The 16,601-nt window shown below is 41.7% G+C and overlaps 1 protein-coding gene across 21 annotated transcripts in view, besides 3 other annotated features; it reads right to left on the minus strand.

Annotated features, from left to right (window-relative positions):
• Window positions 1–12,109, minus strand: part of WDSUB1 (WD repeat, sterile alpha motif and U-box domain containing 1) — a 50,906-nt gene extending 38,797 nt beyond the window's left edge. For 9 of the 21 annotated variants that reach the window (XR_001738650.3, XR_007069663.1, XM_047443528.1 and 6 more), the window contains exons 1-4: window positions 11,989–12,109; window positions 8,078–8,499; window positions 5,167–5,351; window positions 952–1,044 (exon numbers count right to left, since the gene is read on the minus strand). Coding sequence is in view for 19 of the 21 variants with exons in the window: in XM_047443528.1 (XP_047299484.1) it covers window positions 952–1,044; window positions 5,167–5,351; window positions 8,078–8,475 (676 nt within the window). In the remaining 2 variants the exon portion in view is untranslated. Of the gene's footprint in view, window positions 1–951; window positions 1,045–5,166; window positions 5,352–8,077; window positions 8,500–11,765 lie in introns of all 21 variants that reach the window. The other 12 variants (XM_047443529.1, NM_001330277.2, XM_047443526.1 and 9 more) reach the window with 9 other exon arrangements.
• Window positions 5,448–5,617: an enhancer, noted in NCBI's record as "experimental_53748 CRE fragment used in MPRA reporter constructs". NCBI's record gives its function as "activates a minimal promoter by MPRAs in K562 erythroleukemia cells, with activity observed for both the introgressed and non-introgressed 2:160136638 variant alleles {active_cell/tissue: K562}" and the evidence as "EXISTENCE:reporter gene assay evidence [ECO:0000049][PMID:34662402]".
• Window positions 11,943–12,382: a silencer, noted in NCBI's record as "silent region_12042". NCBI's record gives its function as "represses an Ori minimal core promoter by ATAC-STARR-seq in GM12878 lymphoblastoid cells {active_cell/tissue: GM12878}" and the evidence as "EXISTENCE:reporter gene assay evidence [ECO:0000049][PMID:35858748]".
• Window positions 12,069–12,238: a silencer, noted in NCBI's record as "fragment chr2:160143174-160143343 (GRCh37/hg19 assembly coordinates)". NCBI's record gives its function as "represses an EF-1alpha promoter that drives an FKBP-Casp9 reporter gene in an ReSE screen in K562 erythroleukemia cells {active_cell/tissue: K562}" and the evidence as "EXISTENCE:reporter gene assay evidence [ECO:0000049][PMID:32094911]".

The following is a 16,601-nucleotide window of genomic DNA, read 5'->3' on the forward strand; positions in this document are numbered from 1 at the left end:
AAAAAATACAACTGCCTGGGAAGCTCTAGGGTGACAGAGTGTCTACTCCCTAAGTCCCCAGTCCTTCACCCAGAAGGGCCAACTACCCACCTCCTCATCCTAGAGGGAAGCCAGCAATAACGAACCACTTCTGTGCACAGAGCTTCTAAACATTGTCTAATTCTTAAATGCAAACAGAGTACTAAGCAAAAAGGGGACTCAACTGCAAACAAAGATCAGAAAACAGAAGGGAACTTAAAGCAAAAACTCCTAAATGACATCCTGAGAGTTTTGAGATCTTACATTTATAAAGGACACTATGAAAAGAAAACAAAGAAGATGGTGAGCTTTTAGAATCTGAAAATATGATTAATGCGATAAAACATTCAAAAAAAGGTTAAGACAAAAAGCAGAGAAATTTTCCCCTAAAGTACAAGAAAAGAGAGAGAAATGTGGGGGATAAAAAAAGAGAATCAATTCAGGAGGCCCAACATTCAATTAATGGAAGTTGTAAAAAGAGAGATGAATTAAAGAAATAACATAACGGAATAGTTTATTCCAAAACTGTACAAAATAAGCTTCCTGACTGAAAGGGTCACCTGATGGAATAGTACAATGGATGGGAAAAGACCCACACACTAACAAAAAGCAGTACCTACAGTGAATAAATAAAAAAATGTAGTGGTATAAACAGTGTTTACAGAAACTGTGAAAACCACAAAGGAGTTGAAATCAAGTGCAAAGTGGTCACCTCTGGTGAGCAGAAATGTGCATGGCAGTAGAATGGGTGAGGTCATGATCATCAATGAGCATCTGATTTTTAAATCATGTGTATTATTTTGACTAAAAGTTTCTTAAACCATATTTTAATACTTACTTTTAGATACTCAAGGTACCTTAAGTAAAAAGATTAAATAGAAATTTTATCCAGACCACAAATAATTTTAGAGAAGCACTATTTGGCATACATACCTAAGATATGGGTAAAAGAAACAATCCAAATTTTGACTTGGCAATCCTGACCACATGATGCCAGTCGAAAAAACTGAAGACCTTGTTCTCCATCTAAAATTTATTAAAAATAAATACAGAGAATTTGTAAAACACTGAAACCCCCCCAAAATTCCCATTTCTTATACTAAGATCTATTAATTCTACTCATTTAAACCATGTTCACAAGTTATTAGTTAACTTATATCATTTAACAAAATGCTGATTAAAGAATTTCTTTTAAACAAGGTACTATGTGGGATTATTAGTCCTCAAGTTGCTACAAAAAAATACCTTTCATTTTCCTTCCTCAAAGAATAGAACTCAAGGCTGCAAGGACCAATATTGAGCCACTCAATAGAGCATCCTCCTCTAACTCAATTTGAGAGTCTATGAGGCTAGCACTGATAGGAAAAATCAGGAAGAAAAGTCAGTTACTTTGAGAGTGTTAAATGTTTAATCATTCCTAACCTTTTTTTAAGGTCATAGCAATTTCTTCCTTTTTTTTTTTTTGAGATGGAGTCTCGCTCTGATGCCCAGGCTGGAGTGCAGTGGTGCGATCTTGGCAGCTCACCGCAACCTCCACCTCCCAGGTTCAAGCAATTCTCCTGCCTCAGCCTCCCAAGTAGCTGAGATTACAGGCATGTGCCACCACACCCGGCTAATTTCTGTGTTTTTAGTAGAGACGGGGTTTCCCCATATTGGCCAGGCTGGTCTTGAACTCCTGACCTTGCAATCCGCCTGCCTCAGCCTCCCAAAGTGCTGGGATTACAGGCGTGAGCCACTGCACTGGCCTAAAGTCATATCAATTTCTTAAAAGCCTGATCTATAGTTCACATGGAATAATAATGGGAATTTTTTTCCATCTGATTTAATCAAGCCAAAGGCTGGAATTATAGAAATCAAAAATAACATCAATTCACTCCATTTGGTTGAAAATATTATATTATTTAGGGAAAGTAATCAGTTATATGGTGTCCCAGAAGAGCTACTACATTACACTTACTTAATTTTAGTGTATCATTATATATCTACTAAAGTTCCTAAACAATTTTGGATAATGTAAATATTGACATCATCAATGCAATTTTATACAAGTTGCACCTAATATCACAAGTAGTTTCATCAAGTAAGTTTTGGCACTCATATGCAGTAAAGCACAATTAAGAAATTGAGGCTGGGCATGGTGGCTGAAGTCTGTAATCCCAGCACTTTGAGAGGCTGACACCAGGAGTTTGAGACCAGGCTAGGAAAGATGGTAAGACCCTGTCTCTACAAAAAATTTTTTTAAATTAGCCGGGTGTGGTGGCACACATCTGTAGTTGTAGCTACTTAGGAGGCCGAGGCAGGGGATCTCCTTGAGCCCAGGAGTTTGAGGCTGCAGTGAGCTATGATCACACCACTGCACTCTAGCCTGGATGACGGAGCAAGACCCTGTCACCAAAACAGAAATCTAATATCCATCTTAAGATTGTACTCTGGCTTAACAAATTTTCAGTATATAAAATTTAACAAACGTGTACACCTGGGCATGTAAATTTTTTCTATGGACTCTGCCTCTTTGAAAGTACAAACACTTTACTAACGAACAACAAATTAAATTCCATTTCACTGAAAGCTTTTTTAACTCCATGGGACTTCCATATTTCAATAGCATTTTTGTTTCTTTCTGTAGCATAGATTTACCCAAAATATATCCTTTCTAAGAGAGATCTTGAGGGATACAGGCAATTCCTGATAATCACTGTCTTTTTAAGACAAAACATTTTATTCAATAAATGGCTGAGAGCAAAATATTTCTGTATTAGACCTAATTAGCAACGCTATTTGTTTCTTAACTAAATAGATCCTTTGAAGTTAATTCTGAAGTTCTCTAAGTAGTGAAAATTCAGCTAAGACAATGGAAAATTACACAGGTTAAAATGTGCTTATGTTCAGTATCTAAATATAATATTTAGAAACATACTTTTCTTCAGGAAAAATATTTAAATTATAATAACCTAACCTACACTTTATCATTTAAAAACTGGAGAGAAATGATCATTTACTCTCAGGTGCAAACAGGATTATTTTTCCTTATTTCAGCAAAATGTCACAAGATGAGTCAATATGTCATAAGTATTTACAGATAATAACAAATACGAAATTAAACAAATTGAAATTATATACTTTGTCTTCTAAATACAGTTGTTCCCACAAATTCCTACAATAATCACTTTAAAGCATGTACCAATTTGTTTCAGAGAATTTACTCATAAGGTTAAGATATATTTCCACAGCAACACTAAAGGAACTAAAGAAGGCACAAAGATTAAAATTATACCGAGAGAAGTGTATAATATGTTCTAAAGGCAGGGTGGGGATGTGGGTATCATTTCAGAATCTCACCTAGAATTCTCTGCCTGGTTTAGTGAGCCTTTCCTGACCCCATAAGCTCCCAATCTCTCTAAATGCAGGACAAAAAAGCCCTTATTTTTATTCTAATATTAACTAATATAATAGTATTTTCATTGGAAATCTATCTTCAGATCATTTAGAACCAAAAAAGGAACCTAGATCTCTCCACACTTATATAATTCACCACATTCATTGAGTGCCTACAAGATGTAGAGAAGGTCCCACAGAAATGGAAGCAATGGCTTGTTTGTTACAAGCTGTTCTTACAGTAAAATATCACAGAACAATATACTAAAAGAATAACTGCCTTAATTAAATTAGGGAGGGAGTTTAACGTAAGAATGGGTTTATGAAAAGAAAATCTATTATTTCAGCAAATCATTAAAAGGAATCTTACTCATCAATCTACATTTCAAGGCCTACTCTGTATCAGGCACGATGAAGAAAAATGACCCAGGCCCTGCCTGCCTGGAGCTTACAAGCTAATAGGAAAAACACCATTAAATATTATCCATATAAATATAGAATTAAAAATTGTGATACTTAGTACTGTAACAGAAAAATAAAGCATGCAAAAAAAAGACTATATCAAAATTATACAGATTTAATGCAGGGGTTAAGATCAGGAGAGACTTATCTTTAGTGATTTTCAGCCAAATTCTAAAGGATATTAACAGCAAACCAGGTAAAGGGTCTGCACGTAAAACCCTTGGAAAAATCTTAGAAACATTCCAGGAATGAAAGAAAGTCAATGTGGCAAAAAATGCATAAGGCCAAGAGCAATTTGAGATTAGGGGGAAGCAGAACATGTTTTGCTTTTGGGATTTGAGATCTTAATCATATCTTAACAAGCCACTGATGGGCTTGAAAAGGGGGGAAATACCAAAACCTTTCTGTCTACTCTTTGGACCTGTTTTGTCCAATAGGGCAGTGACTGGCCATATGTGGGTATCAAAGACTTGAAATGCAGCTAGTCCAAATTGAAATGTACTATCTGTAATATACATACCAGATTTCAAAGACTTAGTACGAAAGATAAAATCTTATTAATAATTTTTATTATCAATTATTGAAACTACATTGTAGATATATCAGGATATATTATTAATTAATTTCATCTACTACTACATTTTAAATTTTCCTAAGTGGCTTGCATTACGTTGTTATGGATAGCACTGGTCTGGTAACAAGACTGCAGGGGGACAAAAGCTACAGAACTCCCATCCACTAACACGGAAAATGAAAACTCTAAAGAAAGAACTTTCCAAATCACTGTACCTATTTAAAACCAAGAGACTACATTCAGGAGTTCTGTTTATTTCTAAAAAACTAATTGTGTTGGCAAACATTTTATAAATTTAGCTTTTCGAAGATTAAATTAGTAAATGGAAAACACAGCTTCTATTTCCAATTTTTAAAGTTTACATTTCTACTTGAATATCAATATAGTGTTCTTTTAATTGCAATTGTATCAATAGGGTTAGGTCCTCTAAATTGCCATATCCAAGGAATCTGAATCTGTTGTACCAATTTGAGCCACCCCCTGCATATAATAAAGAATGTAATTTTCTTGCAGGAAACTCCAAGACCAAAAAAAAAGAATGCAATTTTCTCATATATTTTTTCATGATTTCATTTTTGGTCAAAAAAGAGAGAAGGATAATCCCTTTACAGGAATAAATTAAGAGGGCTCCTCACTCTACTAATGATAACATAAAAAAGAATAAAAGAATGAAAAGTCATATACAGCACAAATTACAAATAGGAATTTCTAGTGCTTAAAAGAATAAAATAACCAACCAGAAACTGGCTGTGAAGAAAAATCGCAGCAGGTAATTCCAAGATCATGTGCTTTTTCACTATGCAGACACCTCATTTTATCATCCCACACTGTTAAATCACCACATGAGGAGCCAGTGACAAAGAAGCTTCCATTAGGAGAAAATGCACATGCCGCCAAGGAGCCATCTTTAACACTACCACATCTGAAATAAAAGCAAAAAGTGGGTTTTCATTTCAGAGTATCCTTTACTTTATACCACAGTCTCTAACAGCAGCTTGATACAGTGAAAAGAGAATAAATGGCTATCACAGAACTAGAGAGAAAGGACAACTGATGCCTACAGAAATAAAATATCATTTATATGCTATGAACTGAGATATACTGTCTAAAAGCAAGGGAGGATTTAAATATCCTCCCTTAAACATTTTAACTGGTATGTTCAAGCCTAAATTACAAACCAAAGTCCACATATCTTCATATTTTTCCACAGGGCAAATCAGTATAAACACATTAAAATATGTAAAACTTAACCAGAAAAGCAATGACAAGCAACATCAACTACAGCCATATTTTTTAAAAAAGGTAAGATAAAACTATTTTTATTGGAAAATATGTTATTGGAGTCAAAGGTACTTACAACGTCTGTATTAAAAATTACCCAGAAGTGGCCGGGCGCGGTGGCTCACGCCTGTAATCCCAGCACTTTGGGAGGCCGAGGCGGGCGGATCACGAGGTCAGGAGATCGAGACCATCCCGGCTAAAACGGTGAAACCCCGTCTCTACTAAAAATACAAAAAATTAGCCGGGCGTAGTGGCGGGCGCCTGTAGTCCCAGCTACTTGGGAGGCTGAGGCAGGAGAATGGCGTGAACCCGGGAGGCGGAGCTTGCAGTGAGCCGAGATCCCGCCACTGCACTCCAGCCTGGGCGACAGAGCGAGACTCCGTCTCAAAAAAAAAAAAAAAAAAATTACCCAGAAGCAATGGCGAGGTCTTCAAATATAAATTATTTATGAAAGGAAAATGCTGTGGGCAAGTTAAAATTACGTTAGGAAGACAGGGAGGCACGGTGCTGAAGTATTAGTATTTGCTCAATTAGGAAAAATAAGCTGTTAAAAACCCAACAATTAACACACTGTCCCATCCAGCAGGGTATCTATCATTTATATATAATTAATTACATAGTTTAGGGATAGTTATGCTATAGAGCCAGAAGTCATCATTGGATAAGTAAGATTCCTAGTTGACAGCTGGATTTCATGCATATAAAAAAGATATTTGGCATAAGTGTTTATTAACACCACTTAAAACATGTCACCCTCTTCAACCCAAAGACCTAAGCTTAAATGAGCAATAGTTGTTGACCAACTAGCATTTGTGCTCTAAAAGATGTTGGGAGACAGAAGGAGGGGGAGGTACACTAGGCTCTTTTAATTGGTAATTACTTAAAAGCGCATGGTTTCTAATGTACTTAATGTCATCTAAAAGTGTTAGCGTGAAAATTTTAACTTTTTTTTTTGAGACAGGGTCACTCAGTCACTCAGGCTGGGGTACAGTAGTGCAATCCTAGCACACTGCAGCCTCAAACACCTGGGTTCAGGCGATCCTCTGACCTCAGCCTCTGGAGTAGCGAGGACTACAGGCACACGCCACCACGCCTAGCTAATAAAAATGATAACTTCTGTTACGTATATTTTGCCACAATATAAATAAATGTGAATAGTTTTAATGTTGTTAAATTGCAATACAACATTACCAATGTAAATTAATTGGTTTTTTCCAAAAGAGTTTTTCAGGCGAGTTTTTAAGAAATGATAACACATCACCACCACACCAGGCATGAGGTTCCTTCTTCTGGGCTTGGTCATTCATCCAGCAAGAATTGCAGTCACAGAAATAACTGCATCTCTTAGCTGAGCTTTACATACTATTAAAGCTTTACATACTATGGGCCGGGCGCAGTGGCTCATACCTGTAATCCCAGCCCTTTGGGAAGCCAGCTGAAGCGGGTGGATCACATGAGGTCAGGAGTTCAAGAGCAGCCTGGCCAACATGGGGAAACCCAGTCTCTACTAAAAATACAAAAAACTGGCTGGGCATGGTGGCAGGAGTCTGTAATCCCAGCAACTCGGGAGGCCGAGGCAGGAGAATCGCTTGAACCTGGGAGGTGGAGGTTTCAGTGAACTGAGATCCCACCACTGCACTCCAGCCTGGGCAACAAGAGTGAAACTCTGTCTCAAAAAAGAAAGAAAACACTTAAACCACAAGTGACAAAAATAAAGCCTAAAATTACTGAACCTTCAAAATACTGCTTTAACTCTTACAATTAAAAAAAAAACCATAAAAGTCTAACAAGATTAACTCTTAATTTTAAGATTGGCGCTAAGCAAATCTACTATAAGAATCATATTAAACAACTCTCTGGGTTTTTGACCTTTAGAAGGCCAGTTAAAAAAAATTTTTTTTTTTTTGAGACGGAGACTCGGTCTGTCACCCAGGCTGGAGTACAGTGGTGTGATCTCGGCTCACTGCAAGCTCCGCCTCCTGGGTTCACGTCATTCTCCTGCCTCAGCCTCCCAAGTAGCTGGGACTACAGGCGCCTGCCACCATGCCCGGCTAATTTTTTGTATTTTTAGTAGAGACGGGGTTTCACCATGTTAGCCAGGATGGTCTCGATCTCCTGACCTCGTGATCCGCCTGCCTTGGCCTCCCAAAGTGCTGGGATTACACGCGTGAGCCACAGCACCTGGCCCAGTTAAAATATTTTTCCTTGTGCTACCTGAAAACTATTGGCTTCCTAGGGTCATCAAAATATTTTTCTTTTTTTCTACATCACTTAGACTGTGCAGAGTATCAAAATATTTTGCTTTCAGTTTTTTTTAAGTACACCTAGTCAACAGGATTAAAACAGGAAGGATTTAAATATCCATACCTATATAATTTGTATGACTGTGCATTCCACAAAACCACAGTTCCATCAGCTGCCCCTGATGCCAAACACGTGGAGTCTGGGGAAAACTGGCAAACCCTCACAGGGCTGCCACTAGGCTGTTCCATCACTGCCAGCATCTGTCCATTTTCAGTATTCCATAGGACAGTGGTACCATCTGTTGAACACGATGCCAAAATATGTCCTGAAGGGGAGAAACAGCAGCAGTGGACAGCATAGGTATGAAACTTCAATGGAGAATGTGGCAGTTCAGTAAAGTCACGTAACGAGTACAGGCGAATTGTTTTGTCCAAGGAGCAAGTAGCCAAGAGGGAAAAGGAGAAGGCACAGCAGTTGACATCGTCACCATGATCAGCTAATGTGTGAATCAGTTTCACCATGTTCTTTATTTGAAGAAAAACAGCCTGAAATTTTTAAGCAGATAAAGATTATTTATTCTAGGAATCAGATACATGCAATTTGAGTCTATATAAAAGGGCCAAAATGTTTTAATTTGCTCAATGAAAGCTTCTACATCAACATTTTAAAGCAGTGGTCCCCACCTTTTCGGCAGCAGGGACCAGTTTCATGGAAGACAATTATTCCCTGGACTGGGGTGTGGGGGATGGTTTCAGGATGAAACAGTTCCACCTCAGATCATCCGGCATTAGATTCATAAGCAGCACACCCTCGATCCCTCGCAGGCGCAGTTCATAATAGGGTTTGTGGATGCCTGGAGCCCCAGCTACAAAAATTAGCTGGGTGTGGTGGCACATGCCTGTAGTTTCAGCTACTTGGGAGGCTGAGGCAGAAGAATCCCTTGAAGGGAGGAGGAGGTTGCAGTGAGCTGATATCGTGCCACTGCACTCCAGCTTGGGTGACAGAGCGAAACTCCATCTCTAGAGTTCTAGAAAATAGAGTATTTTCTATTCTAATAAACTATCTTAGCTGTTCCCTTCACAGGATGGAGCCAAGGCTATCTGCTCCGCCTTCAAAAAAAAAAAAAGAAAAAAAATCTAACACTGCAGCTGATCTGACAAGAGGTGGAGCTCACTCATGCCCTCACCTCCTGCTGTGCAGCCCAGTTCCTAACAGGCCATGATGGGTACCAGTCCTCGGCCCTGGGGGTTGGGGATCTATGTTTTGTTTTTGTTTTGTTTTGTTGAGACAGGATCTCCCTCTGTCATCCAAGCTTGAGTGCAGTGGCATGTTCTCAGGTCACTGCAACTCCCGCCTCGCGGGTTCAAGTGATTCTCCCACCTCAGCCTCCCAAGTAGCTGGGATTACAGGCATGTCCCACCACGCCCGGCTAATTTTTTGTATTTTTAGTAGAGACCGGGTTTCCCCATGTTGGCCAGGTCTTGAACTCCTGGCCTCAAGTGATCCGCCCACCTCAGCCTCCCAAAGTGCTGGGATAACCAGCGTGAGCCACCGTACCCGGCCAAGGGAGCTCTGTTTTAAAGGACAACCTGTTACCTGGGATAAGAACAATTTGGAGAAAAAAAAATCTATAAGACTATAACCTCTGATTCTCACAACCACCGTTGTCATACCAATAAATTTCCACAACTCCTCAAAAAGAACCTTCAAACTGTCAAATAACTTCAAACTGATTTGATGTTGAGCTTTCAAAACCTAAGGTGTTTATTTCACCTTTGAAGCCTTTCTCATAAGGAGTTCTCAAAAATACCTCACTCCAGATCTGCTCATCTCAACTCAAAAAGTATTTTCTATTCTAATAAACTATCTTAGCTGTTCCCTTCACAGGATGGAGCCAAGGCTATCTGCTCCGCCTTTAAAATCAAACTGTAGGATTTGCTCTTAAAAAAAAACAACAAAAGTCTCATTGAAAATTTATTAATAAGTGACCATGTTGAAAGCTGTCCTATCATGGTTTGTCATCCTGTCTGATAAATAGTAAAATTATACAAAAGACTTGAGGTGAGGAACCACCTCTGAATGAATCAAGGAAACCAAGAAAAGAAAACCTAAGAAAGTGTCAAAAAATGAACTTAGCCAGACCACGCTCAAGAACAAATTTACAAATTTAGAATAAAATCAAACTCATCATGGCAAACAAAATCCTATACAGTCTTATGTAATCAAAATCCTATATAATTCCCGCCTGCCCACTTCTCAGATCTCAACTCTGGCCACTGTCCCTCTCTTCTTTCCAGCCTCCTTGGCCTAACAGTCTTCCGTCTCCATAAAGCGGTTTTCTCAAGCTGAAATGTTCTTGCCTCTGCTCTTGGGATCCTATTTGTCATTTAGATCTCAATTTCAGTGTCTCTCCTCAGAGACGGTTTCCCTATTTAAAGTAGCCACTCCCTAGGCTAGCACATCACTCTATATTCTCAGCAATTACCACCAGCATCGGATATTTGTTAAATTGTCTCCTCCGACTAGGATGTAAATCCCAAAGGAGTAGGTACTTTGCCATCTTGCTCATTTCTGTATCCACACCATGTAAAACTGTCAGGCACCTAATGTACTTAAATAAATATAAGTTGAATATTTATTTTGTTCGAGCCCAACTGAGTTCCAGCCTTTAAATAATCCATATGTAATATGAAATTAGAAAATCTACCAAGACTAAATATATATACACACACAGAAACATAACTGACGGTGGAAAACTGGTGTCAAGTGAGGCAGAATCAGCTCTGAAAGGGGCAGGTATAACCTTGACTTGTAAAATTGATAATCCTTTGTCCTAGTCTTATTTACGGAAACACCTCTACCAAAGAAAAAAAAAGTCTGGGCGCGATGGTGCACACCTGTAGTCCCAGCATTTTGGGAGGCCGAGATGGGTGGAACACTTGAGCCCAAGAGTTTAAGACCAGTCTGGGCAACAAGGCAAGACCCCATCTCTCTAAAAATAAAAATAATTAGCTGGGTGTGGTGGCGAGCACCTGTAGTCCCAGCTACTCGAGAAGCTGAGGCGGGAGCATCACTTGAGCCCCGGAGGTGACGCCGGCGGTGAGCTGTGATTGCACCACTGCACTCTAGCCTGGGCAACAGAGCAGGACCCCATCAATCAATCAAACAAATATTAAGGCATAAGGAGCATGCCTTTCCCTATCTTCATCTTATCCTTTTAGGATAAGTTCAGCTTCTTTTCTTCGAACATAAACTCCAATAAAGCCTAAAAACCAAACACGAAAATTTCTGGTAGACTATCCCTGTACTGCTGTCTTGAAAACAATCAAGACCAGGTGGTGCTTTCTGGAGAGCTCGCAAATCCCAGCTGTGCAAGTGCGCACAGGTGATTTTCCAAACAAACTCCGGCTCCCAGCCCTCTGCCGCACTCAGCTCCCTTTGCAAGTTCCAGGGCATTCAGTGGGAAGTACCGAGGCCACCGTCAGCTGAACAGTTTGTTTTGAAAAAGCTCTCAGGCCTACCCAGGACCTGCCTTGGGGTAGGGGGGGCGGTGTGGGCGTTCCCTCGGGCCTCGGCTGTCACGCGAACAGTAAATTCCCGGGCACACCAGGTCAGTTGGCCAGCGTAAACACATGAATCCCATCTCATTCAAAGCAAACCCGAAAGGTGTCCAGCGCTCCCAAAATAAAGTCCGCCACTTACACCCCCCATGCACGAAAGACCAGGAATGTGCCCCCCTCTATGAGCGGCCGGGCCTCTGTGGACTGAGCGACCCCAGGCAAGAGGGAGGCCTGGGAGGCAGGGAGCTCACCCGCAAGGGGCTTCCTTCCACCCGACGCCGACACGCCCGCCCTAGCCCCGGGCCAAGGGTGCACGAACCACGCCTCGCCGCACTCAAGGTCCCGGTTGGGCCCTGCTGCGCGGTTAGAACCGGGAAATGGAGGGCTCAGACGCCCCGCGCGAGCAGGCCCAGCCGCGCTTCCCCACCTGCCGCCACCGCCGCTGAGCCGGCCCGTGGGCGCGGCCGCTCTCACCTGCAGGAGCGGGGGCGCGCGGGATCCGCCTTCAAGGTGCCCACGGGCGGTGCGGGTCACGTGCCGCGCAGGTGAGGCTGGCGGGGCGGGCGCCGGCGGAGACCCAGAGCAGAGGGAACAGGCCCCGCCCCCGAACGCCCGCGGGGACCCAGAGCGGAGGGAACAGGCCCCGCCCCCCGAACGCCCGCTGTGACCCAGAGCGGAGGGAGTAGGCCCCGCCCCGCGAAAGCCTGTGGAGACCCAGGGCGGAGGGAACAGGCCCCGCCCCCGGGACCGGCCCCTGAGGCGGCGCATGCGCGCTCTTCCGCCCGGACTGCGAGTTCCTCCCCAGCTTCTGGCTCCTAGGGTCAAGGCGATTTCAGGCTTGGAAAGGGACTTCCGTCGCAAATCTTTCTGTTTTTGCTAAAGCTGCGGTCGCAAGGCCTAGTGATCGCCTGAAACGTCGTTTTAAAGGGGCGTTGCATGGAATGTTCGGCCATCCCTGCTGAAAGTTTTTACCTCTTTCTCCAGTTCTCCACCCTGCACTGTGTACTCCGAGGCCGGTCTCCCAGATTGGCCTTCTCTATTTCGGCCACCCTGGGCGGTCCGTGACTTGGCGTCTTCTGCCCTCGCCTCCTCATTCGGGTTCCCCTAGGGGTCTCTCCCGGGCAGGCTGCCTGCCCCGGGCCCCAGCCCTGCCGTTGGGTGGGTATCCTGAGCTCACTGGAACCCCGGGCGCCTTTTCTTCAGCCTTTCCCAGTGCGTCCCACTGGCTCACGGTAGACTGGTTTCCACGTGTCATTGACTACAAAGTGGCCCTGCCAGTGCTTTTTGAGATAAAAATTATCCAGAAAAAAAAAAGTTCCTGAGCAAATTACCACTTGTTAACTAAATGCACAACATAGTGTGGGACTATGTTCAGATGAAAATCAAAGATACAGAGAGCTTTTATTTTTAATCCATGAGGAAACATTAAAAATATATCAGCCTGTGGAGACCGAAGTTACATTTGAAGAGTAATGACCTAAAATGCTCACATTTAAAGATGAAATTGAGACCGTGGGAAACTATTTGCAATGAAAAAGATTAAGGGGAAAGGGAAGATTAAAAATTAGGATTTTGTGAAGTTCTTGTTAATTTTTTAAAATTAGCGGAGTGCATCATGATTGAGACTTTGAACACCAAATTCCATTCCAAAGTATTGCCAAAACAGTATTTTTCTAAAAACAAGTTTTTGATTGTATAAATAATAGAGCTCTCTGTAGGAAACACAGAATATATAACAGGAAAATAAATAGTCAATAATTACACCCCTCAGAGATCACCCACTCAGAGATAACATTTTCTCTCAGTCTTTCAGAAAAACTAATTTTACAAAAAGTCCTGGAAACTGCCTTTTTAAACAAACTTGTGTCATGAGCTGTTCCCATGTCTAAAATTTCATTAGCTTTTTTTTCTACATAATGGTCTACATATAAACATACCATAAATTATTTAACATTTTCCCTGTTGCTGGATGGTTTCAACAATTTTGATCTTAGTGTAGATAATGCTGGATTAAATATCTTTGTACCTAAATCTTTTTCTTTTAGCCTCAATATATTACCACGTTATGTACATAAATCTTTTTCCATATTTATGAATATGTACTTAGGATAAAAATTGAAATGGAGGCCAGGTGCGGTGGCTCACGCCTGTAATCCCAGCACTTTGGGAGGCCAAGCTGGGTGGATCACCTGAGGTCAGGAGTTCAAGACCAGCCTGGCCAACGTGGTGAAACCCCATCTCTACTAAAAATAGAAAAAAATTAGCCAGGCATGGTGGCACGCACCTGTAATCCCAGCTACTCAGGAGGCTGAGACAGGAGAATCTCTTGAACCCAGGAGGCTGAGGTTGCAGTGGGCAGAGATCTCCCCATTCCACTTCCAGTCTGGGGGATAGAGTGAGACTTTGTCTCACAAAAGAAAAAAAAGGAAATGGAATCACTGGGCATAAAGGTGTAGACAGTTTTAATAAGTATTACCATACTGCTCTTCAGAGAGGTTGTACAGTTTACACTCTCAGCAATATGTAGTTGTGTTTGTCTCTCCACTTTCTTGTCAAACTTGAGGGATACCTTTTTTATCTACACTAATTTGTGTGTGGGTTTTTTTGTTTGTTTGTGAGATGGAGTCTTGCTCTGTCGCCCAGGCTGGAATGCAGTGGCAGGATCTTGGCTCATTGCAACCTCTACCTCCCAGGTTCAAGTGATTCTCGTGCCTCAGACTCCCAAGTAGCTGGGATTACAGGCGCCCGCCACCGCGCCCGGCTGACTTTATGTATTTTTAGTAGAAACAGGGTTTCACCATGTTGGCCAGGCTGGTCTCGAACTCCTGACCTCAAGTTATCCACCCGCCTCAGCCTCTATCTACACTAATTTGATAAGCCAAATTGGTTATAATATTCTTTAAGTAAAATATATAAAAGAAGCCCGTGACTACACCTGCCAGTAGTTTAGCACCATGACCTCATGTCCAGTATAGTCAGCTTTGCCTGTCCTACAGAGACAGGCAGTTTCAAAGATAGAAGCCTCATTGAGGCTGGTCTCCAGAGATCTAACTACTTTAACACTCTGTCCTGTACCAGTTCACTCTACAAATCTATAAATTCTTATAAATGTATCTTTATAAATTCTGTTTCTATAGTATATTGGCAAGATATTTTAGTTAACATCTCCCAAAGTAGTTAGACCTTTGATTTGGAATATTAAAGATTTGAATGTTTTATGCATTCCTCACCCTAATTGTGTAGCTGTGAAAATCTTATTTAAGGCTGGGTGCGGTGGCTCACACCTGTAATCACAGCACTTTGGGAGGCCAAGGTGGGCAGATCATTTGAGGTCAGGAGTTCAAGACCAGCCTGGCCAACGTGGTGAAACCCCGTCTCTACTAAAAATACAAAAATTAGCCAGGCGTGGTGGTGCACACCTATAATACCCACTACTGAGGAGGCTGAGGCAGGAGAATTTCTTGAACCCGGGAGGCAGAGGTTGCAGTGAGCCGAGATCGAGCCACTGCACTCCAACCTTGGCAACAGAGTGAGACTGTGTCTTCAAAAAAAAGAAAATCTTATTTAAGGATAAAAATCCCATTTTGTCATTAATTTCTTGTTCTGCTCCTTAAAATAATGCTACTTGAAGAATATAGAAAACAATTTTAAGTGATGTATTTAAAGAAAAACCACCTTTTCTTTTCTTTTTTTTTTGAGACGGAGCAAGCTCTGTCGCCCAGGCTGGAGTGCAGTGGTGCGATCTCGGCTCACTGCAAGCTCCACCCCTGGGTTCACGCCATTGCCCTGTCTCAGCCTCCCGAGTAGCTGGGACTGCAGGTGCCAGCCACCATGCCCGGCTAATTTTTTTATTTTTGATAGAGATGGGGTTTCACCATGTTAGCCAGGATGGTCTCGAATTCCTGACCTCATGATCTGCCCGCCTCTGCCTCCCAAAGTGCTGGGATTACAGGGGTGAGCCACCGCGGCCAACCAGAAAAACCAACTTTTCTTTTTTTTTTTTTTAATTTTATTATTATTATACTTTAAGTTTTAGGGTACATGTGCACAACGTGCAGGCTTGTTACATATGTATACATGTGCCATGTTGGTGTGCTGCACCCATTAACTCGTCATTTAGCATTAGGTATATCTCCTAATGCTATCCCTCCCCAACTTTTCAATTAAATAGTAAGCAATACATGTTGTCAAAATACAGTGGCAACGGGAACCGAATAGATGTGAAGCAATGAGTGAGCCACCAATTACTAAAATATGTGGTCCTGAGTAAACAAGAGCTTAACGGAGAGATGAGAGGCGCCTGTGAAGTTGGAAAAGGTGGGCATAAGAATGTGTGCTAACTAGACCTGAAGTCTAGGCCGGCTGAGGGGTGAGCTTTGGAAACACCCAGTTTCACAGGAAATACTCAGGCATGTATTGAGGTTGTTTTCCTTTGCAGGCAAACCCAATGTCAGAGTTTCCAGAACAGTTGGACAAGGTAGAGCTCAAGGTATAAAAACTCCCTTGAGGTGTTCAGTTTATGAAATTATATCAAGCTGAACGCATGAAATTTGCCTTTTTCTATGTGTATATTACACTGCAGAAGACGTTTTTAAAAACATCCTGGCAGATTGCCCAGAGATTATCTCATATCTGATGCAACCATCAACTCTCCACATCTGGTATGAGCCACAGTGCCACCTCCTTGTAGAGAACTCTGGGGAGCTGGAAAGCTGCAACTCTGCCTGGGAGCAAGATAACTTCTGCATCATAAAATGTTCTCTTAATTTGCTTTATCCTTTGCCACTATGTAAAATTTACACCTTCGAACTGGCCATCTTTTCATTAAACCATTCAGAGTCCCTGTGTGCCAACCCAGTAGTAAGAATTAGCAGAGTTCTTTAGAAACAACTGGAATTCCATACAGGAAAAAAGAAAGATCCAGGGGCTGCCTAACAACAAAACAGAGGGTTGGGATGAGATGGTGTATATTGGGCACAGTGAGAACTGCCTGACAGCAGAAAATATGCATATGGCTGGAAGTAAGAATACCAGAAAGAAATGTAATGACATGTATGAAACTTGGTATTTGGTACACACTAAAAAAT

This window comes from Homo sapiens, chromosome 2, assembly GCF_000001405.40.
Source record: "Homo sapiens chromosome 2, GRCh38.p14 Primary Assembly".
Classification (NCBI taxonomy): domain Eukaryota; kingdom Metazoa; phylum Chordata; class Mammalia; order Primates; family Hominidae; genus Homo; species Homo sapiens.